The 18,959-nt window shown below is 40.0% G+C and overlaps 1 long non-coding RNA gene across 1 annotated transcript in view, besides 2 other annotated features; it reads right to left on the reverse strand.

Annotated features, from left to right (window-relative positions):
• LINC02201 (long intergenic non-protein coding RNA 2201) overlaps positions 1-18,959 on the reverse strand; it is a 101,609-nt gene that overhangs the window by 56,450 nt on the left and 26,200 nt on the right. Inside the window, exons 6-8 of the long non-coding RNA NR_109881.1 lie at positions 18,807-18,947; positions 14,256-14,459; positions 11,770-11,941 (exon numbers count right to left, since the gene is read on the reverse strand). This is a non-coding gene — a long non-coding RNA (long intergenic non-protein coding RNA 2201). The remainder of the gene's footprint in view (positions 1-11,769; positions 11,942-14,255; positions 14,460-18,806; positions 18,948-18,959) is intronic.
• Positions 8,575-8,674: an enhancer, noted in NCBI's record as "active region_22996". NCBI's record gives its function as "activates an Ori minimal core promoter by ATAC-STARR-seq in GM12878 lymphoblastoid cells {active_cell/tissue: GM12878}" and the evidence as "EXISTENCE:reporter gene assay evidence [ECO:0000049][PMID:35858748]".
• Positions 16,318-16,767: an enhancer, noted in NCBI's record as "active region_22997". NCBI's record gives its function as "activates an Ori minimal core promoter by ATAC-STARR-seq in GM12878 lymphoblastoid cells {active_cell/tissue: GM12878}" and the evidence as "EXISTENCE:reporter gene assay evidence [ECO:0000049][PMID:35858748]".

Consider the following 18,959-nt stretch of genomic DNA (forward strand, 5'->3'; position numbering starts at 1 on the left):
GATCTTTGACAGACCTGACAAAAACAAGCAATGGGGAAAGGATTCCCTATTTAATAAATGGTGCTGGGAAAACTGGCTAGCCATATGTAGAAAGCTGAAACTGGATCCCTTCCTTACACCTTATACAAAAATTAATTCAAGATGGATTAAAGACTTAAATATTAGACCTAAAACCATAAAAACCCTAGAAGAAAACCCAGGCAATACCATTCAGGACATAGGCATGGGCAAGGACTTCATGTCTAAAATACCAAAAGCAAAGGCAACAAAAGCCAGAATTGACAAATGGGATCTAATTAAACTCAAGAGCTTCTGCACAGCAAAAGAAACTACCATCAGAGTGAACAGGCAACCTGCAGAATGGGAGAAAATTTTCATAATCTACTCATCTGACAAAGGGCTACTATCCAGAATCTACAATGAACTCAATCAAATTTACAAGAAAAAAACAACCCCATCAACAAGTGGGCAAAGGATATGAACAGACACTTCTCAAAAGAAGACATTTATGTAGCCAACAGACACATGAAAAAATGCTCATCATCACTGACCATCAGAGAAATGCAAATCAAAACCACAATGAGATATCATCTCATACCAGTCAGAATGGCAATCATTAAAAAGTCAGGAAACAACAGGTGCTGGAGAGGATGTGGAGAAATACAAACACTTTTACACTGTTGGTGGGACTGTAAACTAGTTCAACCATTGTGGAAGTCGGTGTGGCGATTCCTCAGGGATCTAGAACCAGAAATATCATTTGACCCAGCCATCCCATTACTCGGTATATACCCAAAGGAATATAAATCATGCTGCTATAAAGACACATGCACACGTATGTTTATTGCGGCACTACTCACAATAGCAAAGACTTGGAACCAAGCCAAATGTCCAACAATGATAGACTGGATTAAGAAAATGTGGCACATATACACCATGGAATACTATGCAGCCATAAAAAAATGATGAGTTCATGTCCTTTGTAGGGACATGGATGAAGCTGGAAACCATCATTCTCAGCAAACTATCGCAAGGACAAAAAACCAAACACTGCATGTTCTCACTCATAGGTGGGAATTGAACAATGAGAACACATGGACACAGGAAGGGGAACATCACACACTGGGGCCTGTTTCGGGGTCAGGGGAGGGGGGAGGGATAGCATTAGGGGATATACCTAATGTAAATGATGAGTTAATGGGTGCAGCACACCAACATGGCACATGTATATATATATATGTAACAAACCTGCACGTTGTGCACATGTACCCTAGAACTTAAAGTATAATAAAAAAATATATATAAATAAAAATAAAAAAATAAAATAAAATAATAAAATTTTAAAAATAAATAAAAGGGCTTATAGTTAACAAAACAAACTTTGTAATCACAAACTTTAATCAGAACAAATGAAACAACAAATGTCTTTGAACAAACTAGAAGACAGATAGACTTAGAAAACTTGGCTTTGCTGCTTAATAACTTTGCTTTGATGCTTCATGAAAGAATGGGAAGAGAATTGGGCTAGAAATCAGATGACCTAGATTCTTGTCCTGGCTTCACTATCTATTAGCTCAGTAGACTTGAGAAATCATTTTTTCTTTCCAAGCCTCTGTTTCTTCATCTGTTAAAAGAGAAAATAATAGAGACAATAGTACCTATTCTACTTTCTTCTCAATGAATGACACTTCAGAACCAGTAAACACTCACAAATCCTAAATCTCTTCTCCCAGTACCCTTTACCATTGGCTCTAAATAAAGCCTGGATCTCAGGTAAGAACACTTCACTCAGACTAGTGCTCCTCCAGTCTTATTTAAAAAAAAAAAAAAATCCTGAGGCTGGTGGTGTTTGGCTCATTAATTCTCTGCTTCTGTCTTTGCCATTCTCATCAACCTCCCTTGTCATTCTTCCTCCATCACCAAAGCCTTGGCTCTGGTTCACCACCTGGCTCTGCAACGTAAGTCTTCCTGTCATCCTGATGACTTTAGCTGTAATGTTCAAGAATTCATTCAACATGTTGAATCAGGGCTGCTCTGTCTATAGAGTAGCCGTTCTTTTATTCCTTTATTTTCTTAATAAACTTACTTTCACTTTGAAAAAAAAATATTGAATCAGGAACAAGAAAAGGGTGCCCACTCTCACCACTTCCATTCAGTATAGTACTAGGCATAGTAGTGTAGTCCTAGCCAGAGCAATTAGGCAAGAAAAAGAAAGAAAAGGCATCTAAAATTGGAAAGGAAAAAGTTAAGTTGTCTCTGCTTACAGATGACATAATCTAATATATAGAAAACCCCAAAGACTCCATAAAAACGGTTAGAACTAATAAATAAATTCAGTATAGTTACAGGACATGAAATCCACGTTCAAAAATCAGTAGCCTTTCTATACACTAGCAATGAACCATCCAAAAAAGAAATCAAGAAAACAATCCCATTTACAATAGCATCCCCAAAATAAAATAGGAATAAATTTAACCAGGGAGGTGAAAGACCTATACATTGAAAACTATAAAACTCTGATGAAAGAAATTGAAGAAGGCACCTCAATAAATAGATATCCCATGTTCATAGGCTGAAAGAGTTAATATTGTTAAAATGTCCATACCACCCAAAGCAATCTACAAATTTAATGCAATCCCTATCAAAATTCCAATGGCGTTTTTCACAGAAGTAGCAGAAATAATCCTAAAATTCATATGGAATCACAAATTTATTTTAACAATCTAGAAATCTGCCCAGGTCACATTTCTTAAGTATCCCCATGGTATTTCCAATTCTACATGTTTGAAATTTAACTGATAATCCTCTCCAACCAAAACTAGGCACTCCACAGTATTCCTTTTTTTCTTTCTTTCTTTCTTTTTTTTTTAAATAAGAGACAGGCTCCAGCTCTTTTACCCAGGCTGGAGCACAGTGATATTATTATAGCTTACTTTAGGCTCAAACCCCTGGGCTCTACGGATCCTCCCATCTCGGCCTCCCTGACATCTGGGACTATAAGCACATGCCACCATACCTGGCTAATTTCTTTGTAGAGACAGGGTTTTTCTATGTTGCCTAGGCTGGTCTCAAACTCCTGGACTCAAGCAATCCTCTGACCTTTGCCTCCCAAAGTGCTGAGATTACAGGCATGAGATACCACACCTGGCCCCGGTATTTCTTTTTTTTTTTTAATTAAAAAAAAGCACCATCATTCTCTTTGTCCTGCCTGAACTGGTTTTCTTTTCTCCTTCACCGAATTAACTCACCCTTCCTTCAAATATCAATTCGAACATCTCTTCTTTAAAGAAATCTTCCTGAACCAGCCTGACACTCATCACGTTAAAACTATATTTATTTGTATGATCATTTGATTAATACCCATCTCTCCTATTATAATCTAAGTTACATGGAAACAAAAACCATATCTGATTTGCTAAACATGATATCCCCAGTATTTAGCACAGTTCCTAGTATATAGTATGCACACAATAAACCCATTGAATTTATGGTTATAAGATAATTTAGTGTTTATACGTGGCAGATTTTGCTTACTTTGTCTCAGAAGTAATCATCCTAAATGTTTTTAATTAACCTAAATCACTCTAAAGACTTAGATAAGGCCGGGCACGGTGGCTCACACCTGTAATCTCAGCACTTTGGGAGGCTGAGGCGGGTAGATCACCTGAGGTCAGGAGTTTGAGACTAGTCTGACCAACATGGAGAAACCCCATCTCTACTAAAAATACAAAATTAGCTGGGCGTAGTGGCGCATGCCTGTAATCCCAGCTACTTGGGGGTCTGAGGTAGGAGAATCGCTTGAACCCAGGAGGCAGAGGTTGTGGTGAGCTGAGATTGCGCCATTGCACTCCAGCCTGGGCAACAAGAGCGAAACTCCATCTCAAAAACAACAAAGACTTAGATAAGACCTATATGTCCATTCCTAAAGACAGAAAATTGCTGAAAAGTAGACTGATTACATATGGATCACAGCCTTAACATGAGGCCAACTTCAACTTCACAAGGAGAAGAAGTAGTCATTAGTTAAGTACAAGAAGGTAGTGAGGCTGGGCGCACTGGCTCACGCCTGTAATTCCAGCACTTTTGGAGGCCGAGGCTGGCAGATAACTTGAGGTGAGGAGTTCGAGACCAGCCTGGCCAACATGGTGAAACCCGGTCTCTACTAAAAATACAAAAAAATAGGTGGGCACCATGGTGCATGCCTGTAATCCTAGCTACTCGGGAAGCTGAGGCGGGAGAATCCCTTGAACCTGAGAGGCGGAGGTTGCAGTGAGCTGAGATCATGCCACTGCACTCCAGCCTGGGCAACAGAGTGAGACTGTCTCAAAAAAAAAAAAAAGAAAAAAAAAAAGGTAGAGAAGTGAAACAAGAATGGAGCACACAGCCACACTGATATTCCACATTGCCACAGAGACACTGTCCAAAAGGAAAAGTTATGTTCATGCAAAGCCTCAAAGCTTGGTTGTCACTAACTGTGTCTTGCTTCAAAACTAATCTCTCTGGGCCATATCCAGTCAAGGCTCTCAACCATGAAGAGATTACAGTATCACTCTTGCATCTTTCCCCTCTCACCCTGAAAATGCTTTTGTGTATGTTATATACTAGAGAGATCAAAAGGCATATGAGAAAACACAGGATGCAGACGGAGTAAAATGCTTAAAATTAGAAGGGGAAATCATGACTTGCCATTTACTTATTTCTGCAATATTTCAAAATATGAACCACAAGGTATATGCCACTACTGTTAAAAATTGCAATACCTCTCCAGGCACAGCTGCATTTTTCTAACAACAAAAAAATGCAATACTTGCTTGATATTATAAAAATAATTAAACTTTATGGATTTAGATAGAAACTAGATGTGGGACAGGGCCACTAACCTAAAGAAAGATTTGTTTAGTCTGCATAAGTAACAAGTCAGAAATCTTTCTAACCCTGACAGGTAATCAGTATGTCACACCTTTCCCCCATGAGGGGAGACAAAACTTAATGACCATTGACTCTATCTGAAAACAGCCAAAATCGCATCAACAGATGGGTGACTGTCAATTAGCCATTTGTTAACCAGTGTGGATTTCTTGGCAGCTCTCCCACAACCTCAACAAAATGAAGAGAGGAAGTCATGAGCAAAAATGAAAGGATGAGTTCTCCTGAATCCCATTTTCAATTTTTTATAACATTTTATATTCTTGATAGAGAAATAATTGGGTGGGAAAATAATAACATGAGAAAATGAGGATCTTGTCCAACATAAGTTAGGGCCCTTTCTCTAAGATTTTTATGGGTTTCAGAAAAGTTATCTTTCTGGCTATAGATCTGCTAATATCAGAAATATCAAAAGAAGAGACTACATCCCTAATTAACTTTATCTGGTTATTAAACTTAAAAACATACTATTAATTCATAATAAAGCTTATTCAGTGTTTTTCTTCTGATAGCATTAATTTTCACTCCAGTTTCTTCATTAGAACATTAACAGACGTTAATGGTCAAGGGCAAATCCAAAGATTTAAAATAGAGAAAAACTATCTTCAAGAAAAACATTCTTCATCTTTAGGCTAAAATGTATGAGAATCACCAAGATGCTTGTTAAAATTGCAGATTCCAAGACATGTCTTCTATTTCATAAAACTAAAGTAATGCAAATTCTCTGCCTATAACTGACCTAATGAATTGGGGGGTGGGGGCTCATAGTCAGGGCCTTTACATGCTCTTCAGGTGTCAGGTGATTCTTGGGAACACTAAAGATGATTATTGTCACTTTAACGTGTCGTGTATTTGCTTTTTTAAAGGGGTCTTTTAAGTCTTTTTCTCAAAACATGTCTGTGTGAAAACTGCAGGAACCTCTGTGTGGGAATAAGGTGTTCCATTGTGTATCGCAAAGCATATTATTAAATTCACAGTGGCTACCGGGAATGATGGCAAGGAAGCTAGTTTCAGACAAAGACCTCTGAATGTACATTCAGAAGCCATCAGAACATCCCGCTTGAAATGAGATGACAGGTAGATTAGAATACTGTGGCGCTCAGCTACAGCCCCAATGTTCAGAAGAGAGAGAAAAAGATCTCCTAAAATATCCTCCCTCGGGATGTTAATGGCCCACCTCTAATCACACATCATTTATTGAATGTGAAAGGAGGTCTGATATGGGCAAGGTGCGATGACCCGGCAATTTATTTTACTTCTTGGTGTCACAGACATGTTTCTGTGGACTCAGCAGGTCAAAGAACTTAAAATGTTATCTAGAATAAGACAAACATGTAATTTTCCTCTGGCTTTATTCCATTTTTTAACTTAATGATTAATTAAGAGACATTCCTTTACTTAAAAAAATTGAGACAAGGTTGTACCAACCCTTACAGTAATTCGTAAAATCTAATGTCTGCAAAATTAAGCTTGCTTGGGAACCCATGGGCCAAAATTTCCAGCTGAGGAGGAATTTTTCCTAAAACTTAGGCATCCCCCAAATCTTTCCTGGGCAGCAACGTCCTCCCGGGCTTAAATTTTCCATCAGAACTCAGCCTTCCCTGTAAAACCTGTTAGCGTGATGTGTCTTCTGGCTGTGGCAGCGTTTGAAAGTCAAGCAAATAAGCCTTCCAGGGCTCACATTGAGTTAAGAAAACATATTCTGCATGACATTTAGGGCCAAATTAGGGACCAAAGTCCTCATTCTTTTACTCAAGACTAAGTTTATGTCTCCACAGGCAATGTGAAATGGAGTGTGGAGAAATGATCTCATGAAATAAATTAATTTAGACAGGATGCCTGGTTTGTTAGTACCCCACAGAGTGTATGTGTAAGTGTGTGTGTGCATGTGCTTGTGTGTTTAACAGCAGGTTAGGGAAACAGTAACACTAAAGAGATTAATGGAAAGCACTCTGCACTGGCAGTAGAATCGAGCTTTTCCTCTAGGCCCCACCACTTACCAATCATGTGACCTTAGGCATAACTCCCTAAGCCTCTGTTTCCTCGTCTGTTAGATGATCTTGTAAGACCCATTCAACTACCACCCAGGGTCATGATAAGCAGAAGGATAATTAACGAGAGTAGTCTGTATTGATATATCAAAGTTCAATATTACTGCCACTAAGTGTCCCTTCTAATATTTGCACCAGGCTCTGTAGAGACACATGGTCATTATTCTTGGGTACACACCGACACACCACAGCTTTGACCTTTCAATCTCTCCCACCAGGACCTTCGAGCCACACATTTACCAGCACTAGATGAACTCACTATCTCTGTAATGATCCCAACTATAGCTGCCTCCAGAACAAGATATCAGAATAGGAAATTGAATCTGAGCTTCTCCCATGGAAGGCCAGGGCATTAATCATGGTGAGCACACTGGGGGTTTTTCATCTGAGTTGACTGGTTGGGTTCATAAAATCTCTTTCATTTTTCATTGGGAGATTCCAAGTTTTATATATTTATTATCCCTCTCATTATTTCACAGCCAGCAGCATATTTTACTTGTAGCAGTGCCTAACTTGAAATAATTTTGGAAACCACAATGCTTATGAGGCATGGCTTACTGGGGCACCAGCAAGAAAACCTTGCTCTTTATTAACAGACTGGGTGAAAGATTGCTTACATTTGCACCCTGATGTGCACTGCCATTTCAGCTTTTTCCCCCTAACAACAACTACTGAACATGGGGATAATTTAACCTGGGTTTCCCCACCACCCCCCACCTCCACCTTGTCAGTTTCAAGGAACCTGGTATAAACATAATTTATGTAACTCCCCCTCTTCATACTGTAAGGCATTGACCATTGAGTGGCAACAGCAATAACAGTTATTTTCATGGCAAATGTGCTTCAGTGAAATATAGTACATGGTTGCCTCCACCTCTTTCAAGCCACAGTCTACCCTTAAGAAATTAGCGTCCATGGGTGGCTGTCAACATAGATCAACGTAAGGGGAAAAATATGTTCACTGAGAAGTTCTTTGGCCTGTGACTATAACACAAGGAACATGGTGATTACAGATGGATTTTTGCCTCTTTAAATGTTTCCATTCTTTTCCTACACTGCCTCCTCTGTGAGTTCATTTGGCTCATATCTGACTTACTTGACCATAAAAAAAGTGAGTTTAGGTCATTCAATTTGCCTAATAAAATACAACTGGAGTCTCTACCTTTAGAAGTAAAATGTTTATATATCTCATTTAGCATTGTTTCTTATAAATTTAATGAGATGATTGAATTAACACATTTCTCTAATAGGGAAGATACGGGTTATTCTTCTGAGTTCCCATTCAGGCAACAAGATGAAAATACATGGGCACAGACAATTGGGAGAAGGAGAAGGAGAGAGAGACACTACTAGAAGAGGAGGAGGAGGAAGACATGGACAAGGAAGTAGGTAAGAGTCATGCTTTTTCAATTTGGAATCCAGGACAGAAAGAGCTTGCAGTGTGGGGCATTCAGTGTTTCATGAATCATATCCCAGCATAGCTCCTGTGCCTCAGAAGGACCCTGACAATCAGCCAGACCATCTCCTTTCTTGAGGTCCCCTCAAAAATTCATGACAACACACTGCTTCAAAACCTCAGGAAAAGGCAATCCTGCAATGTTCTTATTTTGGGCCCATAACTAGGTTGTTGAGCCATTTTACTCCAGCACCTAGCACAATGCCCTGAACAACTGAAAAATCATCTTGAAGTGATGAATAAGTGAGTGCAGAATGTTTCTCTGGGTCTAATCTAAGTAGTTTAGGGGCAGTATGACGTGGTGGTTATGAGCCCCAACTCTGAAACCAAATGTGGTCTCAAATCTCAGTTCTGCCACTTCTTTGACCTTGTACTTCATTGCACCTCAGTTACCTTATTTGTAAAATGAGGATATTAGGATTGTGGTAAAGCTTTTTGTTTTTTTGTTTTGAGACGGAGTTTTGCTCTTGTTGCCCAGGCTAGAGTGCGATGGTGCAATCTCAGCTCACCACAATCTCCACCCCCCTCATTCAAGCGATTCTTCTGCCTCAGCCTCCCGAGTAACTGGGATTACAGGCATGCACCACCACGCCTGGCTAATTTTGTATTATTAGTAAAGACAGAGTTTCTCCATGTTGGTCAGGCTGGTCTTGAACTCCCAACCTCAGGTGATCCACCTGCCTCAGCCTCCCAAAGTGCTGGGATTACAGGCGTGAGCCACCGCGCCCAGCCTGATTGTGGTAAAGATTAATTAGGTACAATATTCTTAGTATAGTGCATAACACATAGTAAATGCTATTGAAGTGATTGCAGGGCCACTGGGTTGCATAGCTCTAAGGAACATTGGTCACATGAAAAGCTATGTGAATGCCACACCCTAGAGTTACGCAGGGTACAACCTGCAAGCTCAAATAATAGTGCTGGTATTTTGCTAGCATTATTATTACATTCTGCTTAGGCCTATTTTTTCTTTTTCCTTTTTGTCCCAATATCCACAACTTATGTAGAAAAAACATGAATATGTGTTGTCTGAAGTGCAAAATAAGAAAGAATTTTTACGCATGAGAAAACCAAAGCATTTTCTGTACTGTGTCTTCTTAGACATTTTCCTTAACCAAGACAAGCACGAGGAAAAGCCAGAGAATGAGAGTGTATTCATTCAAGTAGCTGACCACACACTTGGTCCAGAACCCAATCAGTCTCTTGAGGTAAACAGCCCGCATGCTTGTCAGCCTGAACACTGGTCTGTGATAGCCTAGAGGAAATGCACAGTGTAGAGAGAGGTACAAAAATGGCTGCCCAGAAGTATGTCTAGTGGAATGTCCAGATTCCATCTCCAGAAACCGAGAACCTCTAATCACGTAAACCAAAGAAGAGAAACCAGGCACAGTGCCATTCCCTTCTGTTGGAGCATGGAGTTTTCCTTGTCAGAAACACACAAGGATAACTGCCTTGAAGGCATAGAGGAATCAGCTCCCATCCCCATGAGTTCTAGCTGCTTCTTTTCTCTCAATCCTCACCTCAGTGTCCTTGCATGGTTTATGAGTACAGCTTCACAAACAGAAACACACACACACACACAGGAACCAAGTTAACTACAAACTCAAATGACTTCTTCTCATACAGAATTTCTGCCTCCAAGAAAGAAGCCTTTAGAACTCATTTGACAGAAATTCTCTCAGAAGGGGAGGTTGTTTTTGTTTTTCATGTTTATCACAAAGTAACCAAACAGCTACTCACTATTTGAGGAAAGATGCACTACCAACCAGACGGAGGATTCTCTCTCTCTCTCTTTTTTTTTTTTTTTTTTTTTTTGAAACAGGGTCGCGCTCTGTCATCCAGGTTAAAATGCAATGGTGCAATCTCAGGTCACTGCAGCCTCGACCTCCCAGACTCAAGTGATCCTCTGGCTTCAGCCTCCCAAGTAGCTAGGACTACAGACACGCACCATCATGCCAGCTAATTTTTATATTATTTGTAGAGACGGGGTTTTTGCCATGTCGCCCAGGCTGGTCTCAAACTCTTGAGCTCAGGAGATCTGTGCACCTCAGCCTCCCAGAAATGCTGGAATTACAGGTGTGAGCCACCACGCCTGGCCTAGAACTCATTTCTTAACTTCCATTCCTAGATCTTAAAAGTAAATAATTGGCCTCCCTGTTAAAATTATTATATGAAGATGGCTGGAGAGATAAGGATTATAATCCCTAGGGCCTGCAAAGAAAAAAAGGAGAACAGCAGCAGTTTCTTTCATCCCCCACCACACTACCATCCTTTGCCCCCTCCCCGCCGAAATACTTGCTGCACTTTGGCTGGGCACGGTGGCTCACACCTGTAATCCCAGCACTTTGGGAGGCCAAGGCAGGTGGATCACCTGAGGTCAGGAGTTAGAGACCAGCCTGGCCAACATGGCGAAACCCCGCCTCTATTAAAAATACAAAAATTAACCAGGCATGGTGGGGGGCGCCTGTAATTCCAGCTACTCATGAGGCTGAGGCAGGAGAATCACTTGAACCCCGGGGGTGGAGTTTGCCATGAGCCAAGATTTCGCTGCTTCACTCCAGCCTGGGAGAAAGAGCGAGACTTGAGACTCTGTCTCAAAAAAAAAAAGAAAGAAAGAAAGAAAGAAATATTTGCTGCATTTTAAGCACAGAGTTAAAACCAAATATTAACTTTTGGATTGATCTCAGGTTGCCATTGCCTTGTCTGACGTCAAAAAAAATAAGCAAAAGAGGGGCTGAGCATGGTGGCTCATGCGTGTAACCCCAACACTTTGGGAGGCCGAGGCAGGAGGATTACTTGAGATTAGAAGTTCGAAACCAGCCTGGCCAACACGGTGAAACCCTGACTCTACTAAAAATAAAAAAAATTAGCCATGTGTGGTGGCAAGAGCCTGTAATCCCAGCTACCCAGGAGGCTGAGGCAAGAGAATCACTTGAACCCAGGAGGCGGAGGTTGCAGTGAGCCGAGACCATGCCACTGCACTCCAGCTTGGGTGACAGAGTGAGATTGCGTCTCAAATAAATAAATAAATAAATAAATAAATAAATAAATAAATAAATAAATAAGAAAAAGAGAGAAGTGGGGGAAGAAGGAAGGAAGGGAGGGGAGGAGGAAGAGAGAAAAGGGGAAGTAACATATTCAGTATATACGGATTGCTTTCTGTAACAAATAATAGAAAATACCACAAAAAATCAGCTCTTCAGGGTGGATGTACCAATGTCCACCAGAAATTTCTTTTTTTGTGTGACAGAGTCTTGTTCTGTTGCCCAGGCTGGAGCCACCAAGACCAACCTCACCAGAAACTTTCTCTCTCCCTAGTCTGCACCCTTGGCATACCTTTATGAACAGGGCCCTGCAGTGGCTGGTGCGCCTCCAGAAATCACATCCATGTTCCAGGCAAAAATGAGGCAATTAGGCCTAAAGACTTCTCCTTGAAGGGCTTTGTCTTTTTGTTGGTGAAAAGAAGCCAGTCTCAGTAGACTTCTGTCTACATCTCATTGGCAGGACTCTATAAAACCATCAGATCTCATGAGACTTATTCACTACCACAAAAACAGTATAGGGGAAACTGCTCTTATGATTCATTTATCTCCCACCGGGTCCCTTTCACAACACATGGGAATTATGGGAGCCACAATTCAAGATGAGATGTGGGTGGGGACACAGCCAAACTATATCATTAAGGAACTTAGAATTAGCTGGTGTCAAAGCTACACAGAAGAATGCAAAATCATTTAGGATACTGCTCAGACTTCACAGTTGTAAAGAGACATATAACAATTCATTGCAGAATTCTTTGTCATCGTAAAAAAATGAAAGCAACCTAAATATCTACCAAAATTAGAATGGAAAATAAATTTTGTAACAGCTGTATCATAAAGTACCAAGCAACAGTTTAAAATAATTAAGTTTATTATATGTACTAACACTGAAAACTCCTCAAGACATATTAAGTGAAAAACAAGCTATAGTATAACAGCCATTTCACACCAGTTATATTAAAGATATCTCAAAATACTCTATATTTTACCAGGAATTATATATGTACAGATAATGATCTGGGAGGATGTACGCTAAGCAGATAGTAGTGTAAACATCATCTAGGAAGGAGACCTAGTTTCTAGGTGCTAGTCAAAAAGGATTGTATCTATATCATCAGAGTTTTAATTTTTACCTTAAGAATGTATTCATTTCCTGCTTGTGTAATAAAAAATTAACTGTAAATATTTTAATACCTTTAAAGTAAAATATAAAGGACATTGACATACTCGTTGAATTTTTATACCTACAATAGAATGAACAAGAATAATAAATGACTATTAAGAGAGTTATGCAATATTCTTAAATTATCCTAAAATACTGTTTCATAAAAATTACTGCCATAGGTTTCACTTTCATATTTTATCAATTTATTAATATTTTCTAAAAGAATATTTTAGACTATATTAGGTAGAATATTTTAGAATATATTAGAAATATTTAGGTATTTAGAAATACCTAAAATGTCTCTGGCCACAGGAAAGCATTAGTACTATGGACACATTTTTGTAGTAGCATGAAATAAGTAGGGGCATTTCCAGGTTTAAGAAATAGCAATGGGGCCAGGCGCCATGGCTCACGCCTGTATTCCTAGCACTCTGGGAAGCTGATGTGGGTGGATTACGAGGTCAAGAATTCGAGACCAGCCTGGCCAACATGGTGAAACCCCGTCTCTACTAAGAATACAAAAATTAGCTGGGCATGGTGGCACATGCCTGTAATCCCAGCTACTCGGGAGGCTGAGGCAGGAGAATTGCTTGAACCTGGGAGGTGGAGATTGCAGTCAGCTGAGATCACGCTACTGCACTCCAGCCTGGCAACAAAGTGAGACTCTGTCTCGAGAAAAAAAAAAAAAAAAGAAAAGAAAAGAAATAGCAATGAAGACAAGAAAATGATACAAAATGCAACTCAGTGTGAGTCATGAAATTTTACTTAGTTTACATAGGTCCTTACATTGTGGCAAGAATATATTAAAATAAGGTTTTAATGGAACATTTCAAAGCTATTTGATTTCCTTTCTTTTTATAATCAAGAGCACAACTGCAAGTCCCTTTTTCCCGTATAACAAAAATATTTCTGACTCAAAAATTCTGTGAGAATTTCTGCTCACTCTGTACCATTTCTTAAATATGAGTTTTACCTACACTCTTTTCTATATGAGATCATCTTGATTTCAGCTTAAAGGAGGTTTATTTAAAATGCTGAGACAGTAATTTCCATGAATTACCTGTCACTATGGGGAACATGGAGATGGGAGACTAGATCAAGCCTGTTGAGATTCAAACTTGTTCTTCCAGGAAAATCAGATCTGAACTTAACAATTATACACATGAATAGATGGGAGCAGCCAAAAGTCATTTCTATTTAATGCAGAAGGCATTAGAAAACTTATGAAGTAAATTTGCCTCCTTAATTATGTTTGTTGACACTGACTCTGAAATGAGTGTGGTTTGCATTCCTGAGCATATATGGACTGATTTCAGAGAAGGTGCTCAGAAGTGAGACAGGAGTACACATGGTTTTAATAATGACTATGCATATCCTGCAAAGTACGTAATCCACATAAGGATAATAAAAGACCTTTTAGTTCACTCAATTATCTAGTTAGAAAACTATAAACTCTAGCCAGGCTTCCTTTGTCCACTTAGCACACTTCTCGGGGCCCCCTTCCAGGTCAGTGAGTTTAGGCTCCAGGAATACACACTCATTGTTATCCCAGGTAAAACATCTTTTACAATCAATGAATCGTTAAACACAGTGAAGATCACTCGCGTTGTTAATACTTTTCTGCAGGATGTTCTTACACAAGCCCCAGGAAGACAGGCAAGCGAGAGTTCAGTCCGTGTGAGTTAAGGACAATCATGAATCCTCAGAACCAAACATTCCAGCCATCTTGTCCCTCCTGGCTTCATTTTGGTCCTTTCTCCCTCTGCTTCCATCCATCACTGAAGTATTTCCCACAAGGATCCAGGTCAATTCCAGCTCTCCTAGGACATGACACATTGGTATCTTAAGGGAATGATCTTCTCCTAAAGATTTTTTAAAGCTAAAAAAGAACAAAACTAAACACATCAAGAAACCATATTTTCCTTTCAACTTTAACTCAACTTCAGATTATTCACCAAGGCTCAAACTCAAATCAAGTTATATGTGGTTAGAGCTGGAAAAGAACCTGACAATCATCTAGTTCAAAACATTCATTTTCAGGTAGGGAATGGAGTCCAGAGAGAACAAGCAATTTGCCTAAGTGCACTCTGTGAGTTGATGGCCCAGTTTAGACTAGAATCTTGGTCACCTTGAGCCAAGGCCTCAAGAATTTCATGGACACCCTGATAAAAAAAATAAAATTAGGAAGTTATACCTTCTTCAGCAAATATTATATATTTCAATATAAACCCTAAGACAATTAGCTTGAGAGCTATGTCTGCTTGGGATTTTTCTTTACTTCAACTCTTTGCCCACCTCTCATATCCCTTTAGTGAAGATATTTGTGAATGATAATATTTCAAACTTTCTTTCCTAATCATAAACATCTATTTATCTGGATAACCTAGTCTCTTATTTTTACATTATATTTGAATTGAGTGTGTGAATATTTGCAAAAGTAATATTTCTTGGACTATTTTTTTGGGCCTCTTTAGATGTCCTGCTGTGTGAACTATTTGAACTAGAATATGATCATAAGTAATGGGACTCTTTCCACTGATAATATGGTTTCCATTAGAGCATAGTCTCCAGTTAAAGTTGAAAACTTTATTAGTTGAGTTACTATTGAATGATAAAAAATACTTTGCATTTACACAAAGAAAAACATATTGGAGTCCGGTTAGTTTGACAAAAGTGTGATATTTGCAGAGAAAGCCAAGGATTATCCACGCAAAAGGCCAAGTTAAATAAGACACAATTAGATCTCATTTGGCCTCCTACCTCTCAGGATTCATAAACTCACATTTTTGCAAACTTGGGGAAATAAATTTCATCTTAATTGTATCTTATTTCTCTTGGCTCATCTACATTATTCACACTCTTCTGACAGGAGCTTTCAGCAAATATCACATTTTCCTGCATCTTGCTGACCTTTTTTTCAAACTGGCTTTTCCTTTTCCTTATTAAATGTTTTTGAACAGATATCATATTTTATTTTGTTTAGAAAGGCAAAATAAAGGGTGAGAATTTATTCATCTACATGTCCGTGAGAAGAAAATAGACATCAACAACAGAATTTTTAGAAAAACATACTCCCAACCACTTAGTGGCAAAGATGCAGACTTTGCCACTAAGAATGTACACGGCTAATAAACCTATGCTGTCCCACTCTGTGGTGTGATATTAAAGGAGGTTGAAAAAATTCAGAGAAAGGAATCAAAAGCATCGAGACTTTTCTTTACACAATGAAAAAATTTGGACCAAAGGTTTAAAGTTCAAAGGTGCTATATTAATCTGTTTTCACACTGCTATAAAAAACTGCCAGAGACTGGGTAATTTATAAAGGAAAGAGGCTTAATCGACTCACAGGTCAGGATGGCTTGGAAAGGCCTCAGGAAACTTACAATCATGGCAGAAGGCAAAGGGGAAGCAAGCACCTTCCTCACAAGGTGGCAGGAAAGAGAATGAATGCAGAAGGAACTAACTACCAAATAGTTATAAAAAACACTGGATCTCATAAGAACTCACTATCATGAGAACAGCAAGGGGTAAACTGCTCCCATGATTCAGTTACCTCCACCTGTTTCTCCCTGGACACGTGGGAATTGTGGGGATTATAAGGATTATAATTCAGGATGAGATTTTGGGCGGAGACACAGCCAAATCATATCAGGTGCTGAATGTCAACTGACCTGAAGTAATACAACACATTACTACACTTCAAGAGGACTTGAAGTTGCCAGGAATCCCCTCCAGGATGCCTTACCCTCCTAGCCATTGTCTCCACATCAGTCCCCAACTCTGCTGCCTCTTATCTATTTTTTCTGCTCTTAAGTTGCCAAGACGATCATGAGAAAGACACAAAGTGTGTTGATGGGGCCTACTGCAGGCTCATTCTACTCTGCTGTTGGGTAGAAGATACTCCCGGGTTCTGGCGACAGGCAGGCCCTCATCTCCAGCCTCTTACAGGCTGCCTCTGGCCATCTCATCCATCCTCACAGCCTCAAGTGTCTTCTCTTGGTGCCTTATGCCACAGCTGCCTGTGCTGGGCTGGAAAGTCCCCTGAGTGTCATAACCTCTAAATTTGAGTATGAGTTCCACCACTTACCAGCTGAGTAACCATGAGCAAATTACTTAAATTCTCTGCTTGTCACTTTCCTCCTCAGTTAAATCAGGGTAATAATCTTTATTATGCAAGGCTAATAGGAAACAATGTATATATAGTATACGTAGTTTGGTGTCTAGGACATAGTAGAAGAAGAAGAAAAACTTCCACATGACTTAGCCATTTTTTTCCCCTGCTTTCTGTTTGACACCTTAATGCATTTCTCACAGAAGCTACTCCAGAGCTAGGCATGGTGGCGCGCACCTATAACTCCAGCTCCCCAGAAGGCTGAGACCAGAGGATCACGTAAGCCCAGGAGTTCAAATCCAGCCTGGGCAACATAGTGAGACACCTTCTCTAGAAATAAAAATATTATTAAAAATTTTTAAAGAAGCTACTGCAGAAAGCTTTTATAGCCTTAAGATTCTCAGTTTTCTCACTCTCAACCCATTTGATCAGTAAACATTGAGATCAGCCATCTCATGCGTGGTTCCTAGCCTCCTCCCTCTTCTGCTGTCCCGACACCCTCCTCAAAGCCCAGAGCTGCTCAGCACCTTCACTCAAATGTGTCCTTGTAGCTGTCTCAGAGTGAGAGGCATCTTCACACCATACCCAGGCTTACTTCCTTCCTTGGTCTTGTCTCATGCCTGATGTTTCTATCATATCTTCTTTTATTTATCTCTTGTGTGTTAGTAAGTTAATGAATATTTATTAATGTAGGTTTTGTTCCCACCCCACCAGTTCCTTCTCCACTCTCTACAGTTCTTCAAGTATTCTTATTCTAAAATACATCTCTGGGTTCTTCTCTCCTCTTGAGCTAGTACTCTGATCTTTTGCCACCAGGTCCACACACACTGCAGCAGCAGGTAGGGTTCAGGAATCAGGCTTCCCTTTCCCTTTGCCAGCTGTGTGTCCTTGGACAAATCACTGAACCTGTCTGTGCCTCAGCTTTTTCATCTGTAACATAGGCGGGAGGGAATAGGTTTGTTTTTATGACTAAATTAGTTAATTCATCCAAGCACCTAAAACAATGCTTACTCAGTTCATAATAAGTGTTCAATAAATGTGGTTCTCCTTGCCCACTGCTTATACCCGCTGCCTTCTTGCCACTCCTCCTCCATCCCCAGTGGCTGGCGACTCATTTCTTAAGGATTCTGATGGCTTCATAATCTCAAAATGAAACATCATTTCCCACTTTCCCCTCTCATTCTTCTTAACCTTTGTGCAGCTTTGACAAAGCTAACATCCCTCCTACTGGAACATCCATTGTCTTGGGACAAGGAAGGAAGTAACTGATATGTTTTTCCTATGACCCTCTCCTATCCAGGCCATGAGAGTTGACACTAGCACTGCTCCAAGGGGGCAAGAGGGAAGTTTCAAGAAGGAACTAGAAACAGACACGAATTTGGGTCTTTTAGTCAAAAGTCTTCGCAGAAAGTTTGTGTGATTCTTCACCCCTTGCCTCAATTTGGTCCTCAGAGTTGAAAGAAAATCCAGAGGGAAATGCAAGATAGTTAAGTATGGGAGCCCTTTGGAAGGAGGTATGGAACCCATCAAGGCTGAATATGCAAAGAGCAGTGAACTGGAAATGAAGCCATCACAGGATGACACAGGCCCCCAACAAAATTTTTTATGGCCCCAGAGTGTCACAGTAAAGCAACAGGAAGTTTCCCAGCTCCTCATTCCGCTTTCCCCAGAGGGATAAGGAAATACTGAGAGTAAGGCCAGAAAATCCCCAGGGGTCTCATGGGCATGCTGAAAGGACTCCGCTGTGGAGGGCAGCATAGACCATGGGACTAGAAACCCTCTGGGATCAAAAACATCTCAGAGGATGCTAGTGAGGATGGAAGCCAGCTACAAAAACCCATGACCATGGTGCCAGTGTGAAACCCTACCAGGCCAGCCCCACATCTCTCCCAATGGCCCATAAGCTACATGCCACACAGAAGAAAAAATGATAGGCAAAACAAAGCCCCACCTAGACTGTCAGCTCCCTGAGGACAGAGCCCATCCTACTGCTCTTTATCTAGCTTAGTGCTTTACAGATACAGATCGATAAATTTCAGCTGAATTTATTGATTACCTTGTTTCCTTTTCTGTCACCCTGAAATGGCACAAAAATCATCCCTCCATCTTTTTTTCCTTGTCTCTTCTTAAATAATGTTTTTAAATTCTGAGTAGATGAGGTTCTGAATAGATGAGGTTCTGAATAGATGAGGAAAGGCTATGAGAGAAC

The sequence above is a fragment of the Homo sapiens genome, chromosome 5 (assembly GCF_000001405.40).
Source record: "Homo sapiens chromosome 5, GRCh38.p14 Primary Assembly".
Classification (NCBI taxonomy): domain Eukaryota; kingdom Metazoa; phylum Chordata; class Mammalia; order Primates; family Hominidae; genus Homo; species Homo sapiens.